Source organism: Homo sapiens, chromosome 16 (genome assembly GCF_000001405.40).
Source record: "Homo sapiens chromosome 16, GRCh38.p14 Primary Assembly".
Lineage (NCBI taxonomy): Eukaryota > Metazoa > Chordata > Mammalia > Primates > Hominidae > Homo > Homo sapiens.
Genome location: NC_000016.10, coordinates 68,043,475 through 68,062,642, shown reverse-complemented (window position 1 = coordinate 68,062,642; position 19,168 = coordinate 68,043,475). Strand labels below are relative to the sequence as shown.

Sequence of the window (19,168 nt, the reverse complement as noted above, 5' to 3'; positions counted from 1 at the left end):
GGTTTATGCCATTCTCCTGCCTCAGCCTCCTGAGTAGCTGGGACCACAGGCACCCGCCACCACGCCCAGCTAATTTTTTGTATTTTTAGTAGAGACTGGGTTTCACCGTGTTAGCCAGAATGGTCTCGATCTCCTGACCTTGTGATCTGCCCGCCTCAGCCTCCCAAAGTGCTGGGATTACAGGCATGAGCCACCACGCCCGGCCTACTATATGATCTTAAGCAAATTATTTTCTCTCTCTGTGCTTTAGTCTATTGTCCTTGATCAAATGGAGATAACTGCCAATCCTATCTACTTCAAGGGGTTTCAGGATCAAATGAAAGGCACATTATGGCTGGGCACAGTGGCTCACATCTGTAATCCCAGCACTTTGGGAGGCCAAGATGGGCAGATCACCTGAGGTCAGGAGTTCAAGACCAGCGTGGCCAACATGACAAAACCCCATCTCTACTAAAAATACAAAAATTAGCCAGGCGTCGTCGTGGGCGCCTGTAATCCCAGCTACTCAGGAGGTTGAGGCAGAAGAATTGCTTGAAACCTGGAGGCAGAGGTTGCAGTGAGCTGAGATTGTGCCACTGCACTCCAGCCTGGGTGACAGAGCAAGACTCTGTCTCAAAAAAAAGAAAGGCACATTATACAGGTGCACTATAGATAGAGTATCTCTGGCTGCACATGGGAAAAACGAGAAGGCATGTAGCCAGCAAGCACAGTGGTCTTCCTATGTCCCAGAGACAGTGGGGCTGGAGGAACATGCAGGGTTGGGCTGCTGGCACAGCAACCATGCAGCTCTCATTGGCAATGATGGCAGCTCTCATTGGTGATGCCTAAGTCCCAAGTCGCTCTAGCCTCTGGGAAGCAGGATGAGGCTTAAAGCCCAGACAGGGAAGTAGCGATAGAGAATGAAAAGGAAAACAAAGGAGCTAAAAGGAAAGAGCTGGCAGACTGGGAGAGGAACACAAACCTGTCCCCAGGGCCTCATTAAGCTAGCCTACAGAATCACCAAAGAAAGGGGAACAGAGAGAGACTAACTTCAGCTTGCCTCCTCTGACCCTGGCCCGGGCTTCTCTCCAAGGGCTGGGGTAGACTCTTTCAGGACATAGGGGACCCACTGCTCCTCTCATCAAGCCCCCTGGGAGAGGCCAATCCACCCACACACATACAAACACATATGGCCACTGAGCCCGTCCTCACCACAGGTGGGCTGGCCTCTGCTCTCAAGACCTTCCCAGAAGGGAGACAGGAAATACAGAGGAGGTTCTCTGTGAGTCCTCAGGACCCCTGGCTCTTCATTGACATGTCTCTTGCTCTGGGCTTTTTAGGAACATCAAGGCTGCTGTAGGCTGGCTCGGGGGTTCCCAAACTTAGCTGCATGTCAAAATCACTGGAAAATTTTTTGGAAATCGCTAGGCCTCAGGGAGAGAAACTGGGTGGACATCAGTAAATCTGGTATTGGTGGAAGGAGGCGTTCTAGACAATTCTAGTTTGGAGCTGTGTTTGAGGACCCCTGCTTTCACTCGTGGAGGACTTACCTTCTCAATCTTGTCAGGGTCTGACAGCAGGGCAGCTCCCATTCCTCCCTAAGGAGAAACACACAAAAGGTCTTCTTACATCTGGGAGACACTATGGCCCTCTCCATGGGATGGGGTCTGGCAACTGAGCGTCACCCCGGCACTCACTTCCAAGGGACCAAGGCCCACTGGCAACCGGCACTTCTTTTAAACAAGTAGGAGGGCAGCAGTATCTGTGCCCATAACATCTGGGACTGAAGTGTGATAATTTTTTTTCTTTTTTTTTTGAGACAGATTCTCGCTCTGTCACCCAGGCTGGAGTGCAGTGGCGCAATCTCGGCTCACTGCAACCTCCACCTCCCCAGTTCAAGTGATTCTCCTTCCTCTGCATCCTGAGTAGCCAGGATTGCAGGCATGCACAACCACACCTAGCTAATTTTTTAATATATTTTTAGTAGAGACAGGGTTTCACCATGTTGGCCAGGCTGGCCAGACCAGAGTGATGACTTTTAAAATGTATAGGCTGGGCGTGGTGGCTCACGCCTGTAATTCCAGCACTTTGGGAAGCTGAGTCAGGTGGATTACCTGAGGTCAGGAGTTCGAGACCAGCCTGGCTAACATGGTGAAATCCAGTCTCTACCAAAAATACAAAAATTAGCCGAGCATGGAGGTGTGTGCCTGTAGTCCCAGCTATTCAGGAGGCTGAGGCAGAAGAATTGCTTGAACCCAGGAGGTGGAGGTTGCAGTGAGCCGAGATTGCACCACTGTACCCTAGCCTGGTTGACAGGGCAAGACTCCATCTCAAACAAACAAACAAACAAAAAAGTCATCATTCTGATCCCCTTGGTAAATCCCACAAATCTATCTAGAGTGGGCTATATAAAACTTATTTTTCAAGACTGCCCACTCCCTAACCCAGGTCTCAGTGTCTTAATAAACTAAATCCCACCATCTCCCAAGCCCTTAAAAAACAATGAATCATCCTTCATTTGAAATAAGATCAAATGTGCCTTCTTCCTATCATACTCAATGCTTGCATAGGCATCAACACCACCAGCAAAGCTACTAAGGTGCACACAACTTACAAACCTTGTCTAGGCCCTTCTCTTCTGCCAGCAACAATGTCCCAGCCCAGACCCATGCCCAACTCTAACCAAAGCCCCAGGAAATGGAAACTACCAACCCACACAACCACTTGAATCTTGATAATAGTAATGGTGGTTGCTTTTTATTGTGAGTTACTGGTGATTTTCCTGCTCTTTTCTGTACTTGTCTATATTTTCCAACTTCTAGACAATGGTATTAATTACTTTAATAATGGAGGAGGGGGATCTTTAAAAATCTGAATCCATTAAGAGTGAGATGAAGGCAAAAAAAACAATTCCAATAAATATATGCTGCCAGTATAAAGATTACATACTAATGAATGCTCACAGAATGTGCTCAGAAGGTGTAAGTTCAGTTATTACACTTTAATTTCATGTTTAAGGATGATAAATTGGAATCAGAGAGAACATTAAACCACCACAGACTCGGCCAGGCTGAGCCTGGATTTTAAAGAAGAATGGGTAGACTGGAAAATCCACCAAGCCTGGACTACATTGGTCATAAAAGAAACCTTGAAGGCCTTGAGGAAGCCCCAGCACTCCCCCTGGCTCCATCTGTCCTTCCACTCACACGTATCCAGCCCTTCCTTATAGAATCACAGGATCTAAAATTCAGTTTCACTGCCCCTTCCACAATAATAGCTTTCTCAACAATGGAATTTCCTTCCTTCCTTCGTTTCTATTAAACTTACTTGCTTTTTTGAATAGGTAAAACATTCAAAATTTGAGAGATTCAAATGGGTAACGAGTAAGAAGTCTCCCTGCCTAAGGAATGGGAAATGTTTCAATCTATACTTTTTTTTTTCTTTTGTTTCTCATATAGGGTCTCACTCTGTGGCCCAGGGTGGACTGCAGTGGCGTGATCTTGGCTCACTGCGACCTCTGCCTCTGGGGTTCATGCAATTCTCCTGCCTCAGCCTCCCAAGTAGCTGGGACTACAGGTGTCTGCCACCATACCTGGCTAATTTTTATATTTTTTGGTAGACATGCGGTTTCATTCTTTTGGCCAGACTGGTCTTGAACTCCTGACCTCAGGTGATCTGCCCGCCTCAGCCTCCCAAAGTGCTGGGATTACAGGCATCGGCCACCAAGCCCAGCCTCAATCTATGCTTTTTATCTGGCTTCAATTTTTGAACCATGAGAACACAGCAGATATTCAGCTAGTATGTACATGTGTGGCATATTGATTGGTGTCTCTTCTGACTGATCAGTGCCAGTGCTGTGCCAGTTAATTATTTTCAGTAGCACCCCTGTAATGGGAATTTACTACCTATGCATAACCAGATAAAAACTTAAGTTTCCTTCCCCAGAGGAAATCAATGTTACTAGTTTCTTCTGTGTCTCTCCAAAAATCTTCCCTGAATAAACAAATAAATATATATAATCATTCCCTATCCTCCTTATATAAATGGTATATACCACCTTACCCTGCCTCCAGATCATTTTAACTCTGCTCCTCACATAATTTAGGAACACAAAGAAGTAATCAGAAAACAGCAAAACCACCGGGCACAGTGGCTCACACCTGTAATCCCTGCACTTTGGGAGGCCGAGGCAGGTGGATCACGAGGTCAGGCGTTCAAGACCAGCCTGGCTAACATGGCAAAACCCCGTCTCTACTAAAAATACAAAAAAAATTAGTTGGGTGTGGTGGCGGGCACCTGTAGTCCCAGCTACTCAGGAGGCTGAGGCAGGAGAATCGCTTGAACCCAGGAGACGGAGGTTGCAGTCAGCCGAGATTGCACTGCTACACTCCAGCCTGCACGACAAGAGTGAGACTCCATCTCAAAAAAAAAAAAAAGCCCAAAGATACCTAAAGTCCAAGTCCAGCTGATCTTTTACCAACCAAGGTTTTCGATCCTGCAGTCTGCTTCTTCTTCATCATCTCCCACTCGACAAACCTCTGGTCAAATCGGGCTACTCAGGCCTCCCTGTGTCTACCTCATATTCATCCCCAGGCCCCTGCTTATACCACACCCTCTGCTTACAGGGTCCTAAATCTCAGCCCAAGGACAATATTTCCCTATCAAATTCCAAGTTTAAAGGCTGCCTTTCCACTCCCTTCTCTGGGCTACCATAGTCTGATCTCTTCTGATACGACAATGGGAACATTTACACTGCATCCACTTTTTTTTTTTTTTTTTTTTTGAGACAGATTTTCGCTCTTGTCACCCAGGCTGCAGTGCAGTGGCATGATCTTGCTCACTGCAACCTCCGTCTCCCAGGTTCAAGCGATTCTCCTGCCTTAGCCTCCCAAGTAGCTGGGATTACAGGCACACACCACCACGCCCAGCTAATTGCTTGTAATTTTAGTAGAGACAAGGTTTCACCATGTTGGTTAGGCTGGTCTCAAACTCCTGACCTCAGGTGATCTGACCACCTCAGCCTCCCAAAGTGCTGGGATTACAGGCATGAGCCACCAGGCCTGGCCTTTTTTTTTTAAACTTTTGAAAATTTTTATAGAGACAGGGTTTCACTCTGTTGCCCAGACTCATCTCAATCTCCTGGGATCAAGTGATCCTCCTGCATCAGCCTCCCAAATTGCTAGGATTACATGTGTGGGCCACCACTCCCGGCCTCCTCTCTTTTTTTTAAATGTATGTCTCAGTTGTTTTCCCTTTTTTTTTTTTATAATCCTCCTCTGGGCTTTCTGGGATATGTGTCTCAGTCTTATTCATGAAAAGACACAGCCCTGTCCCCTCTATTTTTCTCTGTACCTTTGCATTGTTTTATTACTTGGGCATGAGTTCTCTCTCTCTCTCTCTTTCTCTCTCTCTCTCTATATATATATATGTATCTATACACATACACAATTATATACATTTATATATGTAATATATATTTATTATATATTTATTTTATATACTACATATATTATATATTTATATATTTATTATATATTTATATATGTAATATATAATATATGTAATCTATAATTATATATTATATATTTATAACATATATATTACATATATATATAAATATATATTACATATATTTATATGTATTATATAATTATATATTATATATTTATATATTTATTGTATATATTTATATGTGTAATATATAATTATAGATTACATATAATTACATATATGTGTATTATTATATTATATAGAATAAATATATATGTAATATAATATACCTATATATTATATAACATATAAATAATATATAACATTATATAATATATAACATTATATATAATATATAATAAAATATATATAATCTATGTATGAATCTATATATGTATGTGTGTGTGATATATGAGTGTGTGTGTATATGTATAAACCACTTGAGGGTAAATTACATATATCATAGCCCCTTACTCCTAAATATTTCAGTGTGTATTCTCTAAGAACAGGGATATTCTGTTACATAACCACAGAAGTTATCTTCATAAGTTTACATTGATACAGTATATTTAGCTAATATACTATGGTCCCTATTCTAATGTTGTCAGTTCATCTAACGATATCTTTTTGAGCATTTTCCCCATCTAGTACAGAATCCAGTCCAGAGTTAGGTACTATACTTAGTTATGTCTTGTCAGCCTCTTAATCTGCATCCTATGTTTATGAGGAGTATAAAGAAACCAGTTTACCTTGGTGGAATATTGTTTTGGACAGCCCATGTTGACATCAATACCAGCCACATCATTTTCTCTGGAAAAGGATGAAGGAGTAAAGGTAATAAGTATTGAATTAGAGCAAAGAAGGTGAAATTAAAGGCATGGATGGGCCTGTGCTCATGAACCTCTTACCCTGTCCCTGACTCTATGAAACACACCAACCCCCAATGACAGAAGCTGAAAAATGGGAAAGAAACCCATCCTTAAAACGTGCACCTGCCTCATCTAAGCAGAAATCCAGAGAAAAGACATAATGTGTGCACACATCTATAAAGGGCTAGATGAAGAGGGCTTTGCTACTTTGGAGTTGTATCAGATAACTCAGATGGGCACACTGAACTCGGCTGAAATAGTAAAAGCCATTTGTCAATGCAGAAAAGTGACATGAGCCTAAGAGCCCTTTGCCAGACGACAGCTTCTGGTGGAAGTTCTAGCACTGCCTTTGTTGGCTGGGCTGCACAGATGGTTTAATCCAAACAATTCTTAGATGTCAAAAGAATCCTCACTCCGTCCTCTGGTATGTATTAGGTTGGTGCAAAAGTAATTGCGGTTTTTGCCATTGAAAGTAATGGCAAAAACCGCAATTACTTTTGCACCAACCTAAATAGTAATACATAGTTAATAGTCCGTGATCAGCAGCAATAACTGCCTGAGTTCCCACTCACTCTTTGTAATTATAACGATAGCTAACACTTACTAAGATGTCAGTATGTGCCACATGCTGCAAAGACATTTACAGGCATTATTTCATTTACCCTTCCCTATGCCAGAGGTTGGTAGCACTATTTTATAGGTGAGAAAACTAGGTTCTCATTGAGGTTAAGCAACTTATCTCAGGTCACACAGTTAACAAGTAGCAAAACCAGAATTGCAAACCAGGTCTGTCTTAACTTCAAAACCTATCACATTAACTATAGCACTCTCCTGCCTTTGTTTTTGTTCTTGAGACAGGGTCTCACTGTGTTCCCCAGGCTGGAGTCCAGTGGCGCAATGGAGGCTCACTGCAGCCTCGACCTCCTGGGCCCAAGTGATCCTTCCACGTCAGTCTTCCAAGTAGTTGGGACCACTGGCATGCACCACCATTTTTGTAGAGATGAGCTCTGCCTATGTTCCCCAGGCTTCCTATCTATGTTAATTCAGGAAGCAATATGTCTTACCTATACTTTGATACTTAAAGCTTCAGGACTCATAGTCATGGGAGTCCCTGGGAAGGAGTTTCACGAATAAATACAAAAAAACAGCTCCCCCCAATATGCATAGAGGGTCTCTGAGATCTAGGCACTGTAGGTACACATGAGTCCCAGGCCAGCCCTTGGATGCCACAAAGAGAAGGAAACTAGACACTCTTTTTTTTTTAAGACAGAGTCTCGCTTGGTCACCAGGCTGGAGTGCAATGGCGCAATCTCGGCTCACTGCAACCTCTGCCTCCCGGGTTCAAGCGATTCTTCTGCCTCAGCCTCCTGAGTAGCTGGGACTACAGGCACGCGCCACCACACCCAGCTAATTTTTGTATTTTTAGTAGAGACAGGGTTTCACCATGTTGGCCAAGATGGTCTCGATCTCTTGACCTCATGATCCACCTGCCTCAGCCTCCCAAAATGCTGGGATTACAGGCATGAGCCACCGCACCTGGCTGGAAACCAGGCACTCTTAACCTGGAAACAGAAGGTAATGGGCTAGAAGGCAGAAGGGTGAGTCACCTACAAAGTCACCAGGACATTAAACCCTCACAGCTCAAAGGAGAGGCAAAGGCAGTGCTAAAGACAGAGGATGAACTTACACAAGCCTGGCCACAGCAAGGGCTCGCTCTGCGTCTGAAGTCCCCTGGGAACACAAGAGGCTGCATCAACCACTGCCCTGACACAGATACACATGCACTGACAAACACACCCATGCAGCACACACATACACACACACACCCCACACACCAACAACAGAGTCAGGCTGGCTTTCTCTTAAACAGCCAGCCCACTAGACTAGCTCACTGCCAGCAGAAAAAGGTGGACTTGGAAGGTCTAGAAAATGTTATCTATACTATGATTACACTCAAACATATAAAAAACTTGAAAACATTTTATAGTGACCATTCAAACACTCACCATTTAGATTCTACAATTAACATTTTGCTAGATTTGCTTTATCACATGGTTACCCATTGTTAACTTATAGTGACCATTCAAACACTCACCATTTAGATTCTACAATTAACATTTTGCTAGATTTGCTTTATCACATGGTTACCCATTGTTAACAATTTTTTAGAAACCTAAACATCATTAAGGATGTTTCTGAAAAAGCACCAAGAAATGCCCAAAGCGAGAGAAGGGCACTATAGAGTCATCACAACTCAAATACAAATCTTAACTACTCTTGAAAAATCCTAATATTTTTCTATGAGAAATATATACACACTACATAAAAACAAAGACTATGATCTGAGTAATCAATGCTAGGGATAAAAAAATAGAGAAATCATGCCAAACAGACAATTCCTACAAGTAAGTAAATTAAATTTGAGACTAGAGACATATAAGACTGTGATAGCTTGATTTCCATAAACTGTCTCCAATAGTATAATTACTCATGACTGGCTCTTTGGAAAACATTAAAGCAGAATCTTCAGGAAGCCATCGTTGTACAATGTACCCCAGGTATTCAACACTGGCCTGGCACAGGGCATGAGTTGGGAAATCCCAGGGGATGGTGAGCCTCAGGAGGGCATGCAGCAATGGAGTCTCTCACCATCTGGAAGACCACCCTGTTCTGCTCTCTTTCACAGGTGCGGAAGACAACTCGATCATCAGGGGCGACAAAGTCCACTGTGCTGAGCACCTCTGCAAGAAAACCCAAACACATAGGGTCACTCAATGAAGATGCAAGTTCAACGCTAGCCTAAGCCCTGGAAGAAAACACAGCCAGAGTATAAGCTTCAAGGGGAAAGAGATCCTAAATGTATACCATTCTTACCAAAAATAACTATGCACATGGGAGGCTTCTGTGATGATGAGGATGGTCTATTTCCTGACCTGGGTGATGGTTGTTCATTTTGCAATTACTTGTGAAACTGCATGTTTGTGTTTAATGCACTTTTTCTGAATGGTGGTTAACATTTTGCAACGTTTAAAATGTTAAAACCGGGCCGGGTATGGTGGCTTACGCCTGTAATCCCAGCACCTTGGGAGGCCGAGGCGGGCGGATCATGAGGTCAAGAGTTCAAGACCAGCCTGGCCAACATGGTGAAACACCGTCTCTGATAAGAATACAAAAATTAGCCAGGCGTGGTGGGGTATGCCTGTAACCCTAGCTACTCGAGAGGCTGAGGCAGGAGAATCGCTTGAATCTGGGAGGCGGAGGTTGCAGCGAGCCGAGATCGCGCCATTGCACTCCAGCCTGGGCGACAGAGCAAGACTCCGTCTCGAAAAAAAAAAAAATGTTGAAACAAAATGTACATACATAGCCGGGCGCAGTGGCTCACGCTTGTAATCCTAGGACTTTGGAAGGCCAAGGCAGGTGGATCATGTGAGGTTAGGAGTTTGAAACCAGCCTACACAACATGGCAAAACCGCATCTCTACTAAAAATACAAAAATTAGCTGGGCGTGGTGGAGGGTGCCTGTAATACCAGCTACTCAAGAGGCTGAGGCAGCACAATCTCTTGAACCTGGGAGGCAGAGATTGCAGTGAGCTGAGATCGCGCCACTGCACTCCAGCCTGGGCAACAGAGGGAGGCTCTGTCTCAAAAAAAAAAAAAAAGTCCATACATGGAAGTTTGTCTATGTTTCAGATTTGGCCCAAATTTTCCCAGAAAACATCACTCTGAAGTTCAGCAAATTTACTATTTACTTACAGTGAGACAGGTGCTATGAGTGGAAGGTTACTATATAACAATCAATCTCCTATACTATTCATAGTTGCATATTTGCAAATGTGCCTATTTGCTAACATTTATTTGTGACCCCAAAATCAATACTTGTGATGTTTTCATGGTCATCCAAGGACAGGAACAGAGTGGTGAAAGTTTTGAGTTGCCTGATGTGCATGTTCCCAGCTGAGGTCAAACAAGGTGATGCTCTGTCTTCTCCCTTCAGCTCTCATACTGTCAACAAGTGTCCCTTTTGTGGTATATTTCATGCCACATTTCTGCATGTCTATGCTTTTTGTTGGTGATCTCACTGTTTAAAATGGTCCCAAGTGGCTGGGTGCGGTGGCTCACACCTGTAATCCCAGCACTTTGGGAGGCCGAGGCGGGTGGGTTACCTGAGGTTAGGGAGTTCGAGACCACCCTGGGCAACATGGTGAAACTCAAGTCTCTACTAAAATACAAAAAAAAAAATTAGCTGGGTGTGGTGGCACACACCTGTAGTCCCCACTACTTGGAAGGCTGAGGCACAAGAATCTCTTGAGCCGGGAAGGCGGAGGTTGCAGTGAGCCAAGATCACGCCACTGCACTCTAGCTTGGGCTACAGAGTAAGATTCCATCTCAAAAAATATAAAATAAATAAAATAAAATGGTCCCAACCATACTGCTGAAATGCTATCTAATGTTCCTAAGCACAAGAAAACGGTCATGGGACTTACAGAGAAAATACACATCTTGAATAAGCTTTGTTTCGGCATGAAATTATAGCACTATTACCCATGTTAGTGGGTTCAATGTTAAGTGAATCAATGGTATATATTAAATAATATGCCTTTAAACAGAAACACATGGCCAGTGTGATGGCTAAGTCCTGTAATCCCAGTATTTTGGGAGGCTGAGGCAGGGGGATCACTTGAGGCCAGGAGTTTGAGACCAGCTGGGGAACATAGCAAGACCCCCATCTCTACAAAAAATTTAAAAATTGGCTGGGCATGGAGGTGTGCACCTGAAATCCCAGCTACTTGGAAGGCTGAGGCAGGATGATCATTTGAGCCCAGGAGTTTGAGGCTGCAGCGAGCTATGGTCACACCAGTACACTCCAGCCTGAGCAACAGAGTGAGACCTGGTCACAAAAAAGAAACCAAACAAAAACAAAGAAACACACATAAAACAAAGTTATGGACTGACAAGTTGATGAAAATATGACCAGAGGCTTGCACAAACCTAACCCTTTGTTTACCCCAGGGTCAATGGTTCAGTATCCGCTCATTTGATGTTTAAAGCAACTTTATAGAAACAACAACGGTGCATAATGAGAAGCAACTGTATTTTATCTGTCAGCTTCCTAAAGAAGCTCCACAATAGGTGCTACCATTACTAGCTTTCAAAGATCACTATACATGAAAAAGACTGAACGTGGCAGATGGGAGAATATGCCTACCTCAAAGGCTGTCTTGAGAAATAAATGAGATCTTTGATGCACTTAAAGTATTTCCATACATGGATGGTTTTATTATCATCCAGCACTAAACAGATGAGAAGGTTTTTAGGGTGGGATAAAGGCAATGACATGTTGAGAGAGGTAATCAAAGTGATCACTGACAGAGACAGCTCATGACTGGCAGTAAGAAGTATGAGAGAAGAACCACAAAATATTTGTGTGTTTATAATGCAACTCTGTTTATAACAGCAAAATACTGGGAACCCCTGTTAAGGCTCTGGTAAAATCAATTCTGACATAGTTGCCCCTAGGTACTGACATGGGCAAATGACCTAGTAGATAAGTAAATGGCAAAACAACACGTGTTGTATGATCAAATGGGGTGGGGAGATAGATAAATATAGATATAGATATAGATACAGATATAGATATAGATACATTTTTTTTCCTTATCTTCAACCTAGAAGAGGGATATATATAAACACGTCATATTTTGTACACACACATTATTTACTATATGTATAGAAAAACATACATTATTCCTCTCTCTGATTACCTCTTTAGGTGTAGGATTATGGAGGATTTTCATTTTCTAGGTTACACAGATCTATAATATTGAATTTTTTATCACACAGAAAAAAATATACACATTTAAAATAGTTCGGCCAGGCATGGTGGCTCACACCTGTAATTCCAGCACTTTGGGAGGCCAAGGCAGGCGGATCACGAGGTCAAGAGTTCAAGACCAGACTGGCCGCCATGGTGAAACCCCTTCTCTACTAAAAATACAAAAATTAGCCGGGTGTGGTGGCGGGCACCTGTAGTCCCAGCTACTCGGGAGGCTGAGGCAGGAGAACTGCTTGAACCTGGGAGGCAGAGGTTGCAGTGAACCAAGACCGCGCCGTTGCACTCAAGCCTAGGCAACAGAGGGAGATTCCGTCTCAAAAAAAAAAAGATTTCACAAGCATATACGTATGTATCAGAAAACTCAAGGAATATACCACAACTCTAATCAAAGCAGAATCAGCCTCATCAATAAAGTATCAGCAAAACTACAATTCATCACAATCACATTTGCACAGAGCATAGGGCGTCCACAGTACTTACATGTACCTTATCTTATTTGGTCCTCACTCCAACCCTATGATTGAAGTAAAGCAAAGACTATGATTTCATTTTACAGATAAAGGAACTAAGGCAGACAGAGGTCATATGGCCTGCCCAAGGTCACACATCTAGCAAGTGGCCAAGCCAGGGCCAATGCTAAAGCCATCCTGACTCCAAGGCTCCTAGAGTCCCTCCTATGCTATGATGCATGGTGATTTCTATGCCAGCAAGCCTGTGAGTGAAAGGCACTCTCAGCCTGTTTCACATCAGGCTTTTTGTCATGGCCTCTGGAGATCAGTGACTGCTCTCAAGGGAGCATGTGATCTATAGAATTACTCAATGAAGCCAGGCAAGACACTGTCACCCCAGGCAAGGGCAGTGGTAGTGCTGCTTGAGCCCAGCAGGGCATATGCATAATTCTGGAGCCAGATCTGTACTCACCATTAACAACTCTCTTGCACTGAATCATCTTGAGGTCGATCAGCTCCTGCAGAGGAATCAGAGGACGCTTGTCATTCCTGAACATGTAGGCTCTGGGCATGAAGGATTTTCATCACACACCTAATGAGGATCGCTTGGCCAGTCGCCCTACTACCAAGAACAAACCACGGCTTTTGGGACATGTAGTGCTATTCTCCCCACCCAAGCATGGCAAGCAGGAGCCAGAGTGAGCTACTCTCAATTAGCTGTCCTTCCCAGGAAACTTGGAGATGGTTGGGGCCTAGAATGAATGAACCACTTAGCCAGAAAGACAATAATCATTCAGGATGTATTCACTTGGAAAATTTCCTCACCTACTGGTCTCAGCAGAAGCCCACCCCATCAAAGAATATCCCACCTATCCCTCAGCAAAGGGCAGGCAGTGAAGGGCTCCCAAGAAACATCCAAAAACAAAACTGGAACCAGAGAATAGAAGCAAAGGGAGGAAGATCTGAGATGAACACAGGAAAGAAAAGTCTAAAACCCCTATCCCACATGGGTCACACTATGTGGAAATGAAAAGGGCGAGGTCCCCAACTCTGGAGATACTCAAACAGACTAAGGAAAGAAAGAAAAAGGGGGGTTCTTCAAAATCACATCATAAATGGAAGAAAACCTCCTATGTGCTGGAGGACTGAGATTCTCTAATTCTTAGTTGGAGACAAGACTGTTCTGCTTTGTTCAGCAGACACCTGTCACACTGCCCAGAAGTTCATGCCCATGGATTCTGGGGGTCCAGAAAAGAAAAGAAGAGGTGCTTACTCCTGGTACTAACCCCCATACTGACTCCCTATGAGCCCCAGCAAGTCACAACCCCAGCCAAGTGGGCACAATGACCTCCTACTCACTCATCGGAGTACCTAGGGACAATGGCCAAAGAATCCTCATAGTATCCATGGGACTTCCCGCAGCATACCCACCATCAGATTAACAAATGCTCTAGGTGTTTCTGTGGCCATTCTCTCCATGCAGTATTCAGGTCATCAAATATCTGATGACCACTAGGCCTGAACAAACAAATCACCACAACTAAGCAGTTTGGACATGGTTGACATCCAACCCCCAAGAATCAGTGTGGCATCCCAAGGGATGGGCAGAGCCCAACTCAGAGCCCCAGTAGCCAGTGATCCTAGTTGCAGGGGAAGGCAAGTAGACAAGTAGGAAGCACTGAATGGCCTGTGCTTATAAAAAGAAATTCAGTAGCCAAACTGAGCTTTGGTAGGGACTAGAACAGGAAAAAGTAAGACACGTACCACATCAAAGATTGGGAAGTTCATTGTTTCCAAGTATTTACGGAAATCTCCATCCAAATATTAGCTAACAATTAAGCTAACCCAGGAGAACTTTATAGGCCACACATGGCAAAGAACACAGGCCTTACAAAATTAGTTCAGAATAGTCACTAAGCAAACAAACAACAACAAACCCTGGCCAGACATGATGGCTTATGTCTGTAATCCCTACACTTTAGAAAACCAAAGCAGGAGGATCACTTGAGCTCAGGAGTTCAAGACCAGCCTGGGCAACAAAGTGAGACCTTGTCTCTACAAAACATTTTTAAAAATTAGCCGGGCGTGGTGGCATGTGCCTGTGGTCCCAGCTACATGGGATGCTGAGGCAGGAGAATCGCTTAAGCCCAGATGCTCGAGGTTGCAGTGAGCTGTGATTGTGCCACTGCATGCCACCCTGGGCAACAGAGTGACACCTGTCTCAAAAAAAAAAAAAAAACACGCCAGCACGGTGGCTCATGTCTATAATCCCAGCACTCTGGGAGGCCGAGTCAGGCAGATCACTTGAGGTCAGGAGTTCAAGACCATCCTGGCCAACATGGTGAAACCCCATCTCTACTAAAATACAAAAATTAGCTGGCCATGGTGGTACATGCCTGCAATCCCAGCTACTCAGGAGGCTGAGGCAGGAGAATTGCTTGAACCAGGGAGGCGGAGGTTGCAGTGAGCCGAGATTGCGCCATTGCACTCCAGAGCCTGGGCAACAGAGCAAGACTCCATCTCGGGAAAAAACAACAATGACAACAACAACAACAACAACAACAAAAACTTTGTTATTTGAAAATATTAACAAAATTGACAAACTTTTAGCTAGACTACCAGTGGAAAAAAAGAGAGAAGACAAAAATTATTAAAATCAGAATGAGAGAGGCCAGACGCGGCAGCTCACGCCTGTAATCCCAGCACTTTGGGAGGCTGAGGCGGGTGGATCACGAGGTCAGGAGTTCAAGGCCAGCCTGGCCAACATGGTGAAACTCCATCTCTACTAAAAATACAAAAATTAGTCAGGCGTGGTGGCACGTGCCCGTAATCCCAGCCACTTGGGAGGCTGAGGCAGGAGAATCGCTTGAACCCAGGAGGCGGAGGTTGCAGTGAGCCAAGACCGCACCACTGCACTCCAGCCTGGCAACAGAGTAAGACTCCATCTCAAAAAAAAAAAAAAAAAAAAAAAAAGGCCGGGCATGGTGGCTCACGCCTGTAATCCCAGCACTTTGGGAAGCCAAGGCGGGCGGATCACGAGGTCAGGAGATCAAGACCATCCTGGCTAACACAGTGAAACCCCGTCTCTACTAAAAATACAAAAACAAAATTAGCCGGGTGTGGTGGCAGACGCCTGTAGTCCCAGCTGCTCCGGAGGCTGAGGCAGGAGAATGGCATGAATCCGGCAGGCGGAGCTTGCAGTGAGCCAAGATGGTGCCACTACACTCCAGCCTCGGCGACAGAGCAAGACTTCGTCTCAAAAAAAAAAAAAATCAGAATGAGAGAGAAAACGTTACTTCTGACCTTAAAGAAATAAAAAGTATTATAAGGAAATAATATAAACCATTGTATGCCAAAAAATTAGATAACCTACATGAAATGGACACACACTACTGAATCTGACTCAAGAAATAAAAAATGGGAATAGTCCTAAAACAAGAAATTAAGGCCAGGCACAGTTGGCTTATGCCAACAAAAATTAGCCGAGCGTGGTGGCACAGGCCTGTATCCCAGCTACTGGGGAGGCTGAGACAGGAGAATCGCTTGAACCTGGGAGGCGGAGGCTACAGTGAGCTGAGATCGTGCCACTGCACTCTAGCCTGGGCAACAGAAGGAGACTCCGTTTCAAAAAAAAAAAAAATGAATGAAATCATGTACTTTACAGCAACATAGATGCAGCTGGCAGCCGTTATCCTAAGCAAATTAACACAGAAACAAACCCAAATAACATATGTTCTCACTTATAAGCAGGAGCTAAGCATTGGGTACACACGAACATAAACATGGGAACAACAGACACCGGAGACTTCAAAAGGCAGGAAGCAGAGAGGAGGCAAGGGCTAAAAAAGATCCTATTGGGTATTATGTTCACTATCTGGGTGACAGGATCAATAGAAGCCAAACCCTCAGCATCACACATGGTACCCTTGTAACAAATCCGCATATATACCCCTGAATCTAAAATTTTGAAAATAAGAATAAATTTTAAAATTAAAAAGTTTCCCAGGCCAGGGACAGTGGCTCACGCCTGTAATCCCAGCACTTCGGGAGGCCGGGGAGGGTGGATCACCTGAGGTCAGGAGTTCGAGACCAGTCTGATTAACATGGTGAAACCCCGTAACTACTAAAAATACAAAAATTAGCCACTCATGCCTGTAATCCCAGCTACTTGGGAATCTGAGGCAGGAGAATCACTTGAACATGGGAGGCAGACGTTGCAGTGAGCCAAGATCATGTCACTTCACTCCACTCCAGGGCCTGGGCAACAAGAGCAAAACTCCGTCTCAAAAAAAAAAAAGAAAAGAAAGTTCCAGCCAGGACAATTAGGTAGAAAAAAAAATAAAATAAAAGGCATCCATATTAGAAAGGAAAAAGTAAAACTATATTTGCAGATGATGTTTTTTTTTTTTTTAAGACAGAGTTTTGCTCTTGTTGCCCAGGATGGAGTGCAGTGGCGTGATCTCGGCTCACTGCAACCTCCACCTCCTGGGTTCGAGCGATTCTCCTCCCTCAGCCTCCCTAGTAGCTGGGATTACAGGCGTCCACCACCATGCCCAGCTAATTTTTTGTATTTTTTTTTAATAGAGATGGGGTTTCATCGTGTTGGCCAGGCTGGTCTCAAACTCCTGACCATGGGTGATCCACCCGCCTCGGTCTCCCAAAGTGCTGGGATTACAGGTGTGAGCCACCACGCTGGGCCGATGTGATCTTGTATATAGAAAGCCTGTGGAAGTTTCCCCCACCCATACATATACACACAGGAGAGACAGAGAGAGACAGAAAGAGAACATACATGCTAATAAACAAGTTCAGCAAGGTCAAGGACACAAGATCAATACACAAAAATCAATTATATTTTATACACTAGTAATGAACAATACAAAAGGAAATTAAGAAATTCCATTTGTAATAACATCTAAAAGAATAACACGGCCGGGCACAGTGGCTCACGCCTGTAATTCCAGCACTTTGGGAGGCCGAGCTGGGTGGATTGCCTGAGGTCAGGAGTTCAAGACCAGCCTGACCAACATGGTGAAACCCCATTTCTATTAAAAATACAAAAATTATCCAGGCATGGTGGCAGGCGCCTGTAATCCCAGCTACTCGCGAGGCTGAGGCAGGAGAATGGCTTGAGCCCGGGAGGCAGAGGTTGCAGTGAGCTGAGATTGCGCCACTGCACTGCAGCCTGGGCAACTAAGCGGGACTCTGCCTCAAAAAATAAAAGTAAATAAAAATAAAACACATAGGAAATAATTCAAAAAAAGAGGTATGAGACTCATGTACTGAAAACTATGAAACACTGTTGAAAGAAATTAAAGAAGACCTGACCCGGCCCAATGGCTCATGCTTTTAATACCAGCACTTTGGGAGGCCTAGGCAGGCGGATCACTTTGAGATCAGGAGTTCGAGACCAGCCTGGGCAACATGGTGAAACCCTAACTCTACAAAAAAATACAAAAATTAGCCATGTGGGGTGGAGTATGGCTGTAGTCCCAGCTACTCAGGAGGCTGAGGTAGGAGGATGGCTTCAGCCCAGGAGGCATAGGTTGCAGTGAGCTGAGATCATGTCACTGTACTTGAGCCTGGGTAACAGAGTGAGACCTCATCTCAAAAAAAAAAAAAAAAAGAAATTAAAGAAGACCTAAATAAAGACATCTCATGTTCATGGATTGGAATACTAAATATTGTTATGACAGCAATAATCCGTAAACTAATCTACAGATTCAATGCAAACTCCATCAAAATCCCAGCTGCCTTTCTGGCAGAATTGACCAGCTGATCCTAAAATTCATATAGCAATGCAAAGAACCCAGATTACACAAAACAATCTTGAAAGAGAAGAAAAAGTTGGAGAATTTATACTTCCCAATCTTAAAACCTACCAAGCTACAATAATCAAGACTGTGTTGTGTCCTCAATTCACCAGTAAGAAGAAAGAAAAAAAAAGGCTGTGGTACTGGCATACAGGTAGACATACAGACCAGCGTAACAGAAATGAGAGTCCAGATATAAATCAAATCAAAACATCTATGATTAATTGATTTTTTACAAGAGCACAGACCCGGTGCAGTGGCTCAAGCCTGTAATCCCAGCACTTTGGGAGGCCCGAGCAGGAGGATCACTTGAGGCCAGGAGTTCAATACAAGCCCGGCCAACATGCCAAAACCCCGTCTCTACCAAAAATACCTAAATTAAGCAGGCATGGGGGCATGCACCTGTAGTCCCAGCTCCCTGGGAGGCCAAGGCAGAAGAATTGCTTGAACCTGGGAGGTGGAGGTTGCAGTGAGCTGAGATGGTGCCACTGCACTCCTGCGTGGGCAACAGAGCAAGACTCCATCTCAAAAAAAAAGAAAAGAAATTATTTCTTTCTAAAAACATAATTTTTAATTTGTTGTTTTTAAAAAATTACCTATTCTGGGTGAATATGACCTACAAATGGCCAAAAAAGCATATAAAAAGATGTTCACCATCACTAATCATCACTAATCAGAGAAATAAACCACAATGAAATATCACCTCATACCCATTAGGATGGCTACCATCAAAAA

General features: G+C 43.9%; 1 protein-coding gene across 3 annotated transcripts in view, besides 2 other annotated features; it reads right to left on the bottom strand.

Moving 5' to 3' along the window:
• DUS2 (dihydrouridine synthase 2) overlaps nucleotides 1-19,168 on the bottom strand; it is a 56,037-nt gene that overhangs the window by 16,678 nt on the left and 20,191 nt on the right. For 2 of the 3 annotated variants that reach the window (NM_017803.5, NM_001271762.2), the window contains 5 exons: nucleotides 13,093-13,138; nucleotides 8,988-9,079; nucleotides 8,026-8,069; nucleotides 6,219-6,279; nucleotides 1,530-1,577 (listed from right to left, as the gene is read on the bottom strand). In NM_017803.5, coding sequence (NP_060273.1) covers nucleotides 1,530-1,577; nucleotides 6,219-6,279; nucleotides 8,026-8,069; nucleotides 8,988-9,079; nucleotides 13,093-13,138 — 291 coding nt within the window. The remainder of the gene's footprint in view (nucleotides 1-1,529; nucleotides 1,578-6,218; nucleotides 6,280-8,025; nucleotides 8,070-8,987; nucleotides 9,080-13,092; nucleotides 13,139-19,168) is intronic. The other variant, NM_001271763.2, reaches the window with a different exon arrangement.
• Nucleotides 1,091-1,140: an enhancer, noted in NCBI's record as "active region_11003". NCBI's record gives its function as "activates an Ori minimal core promoter by ATAC-STARR-seq in GM12878 lymphoblastoid cells {active_cell/tissue: GM12878}" and the evidence as "EXISTENCE:reporter gene assay evidence [ECO:0000049][PMID:35858748]".
• Nucleotides 17,911-18,100: a silencer, noted in NCBI's record as "fragment chr16:68078446-68078635 (GRCh37/hg19 assembly coordinates)". NCBI's record gives its function as "represses an EF-1alpha promoter that drives an FKBP-Casp9 reporter gene in an ReSE screen in K562 erythroleukemia cells {active_cell/tissue: K562}" and the evidence as "EXISTENCE:reporter gene assay evidence [ECO:0000049][PMID:32094911]".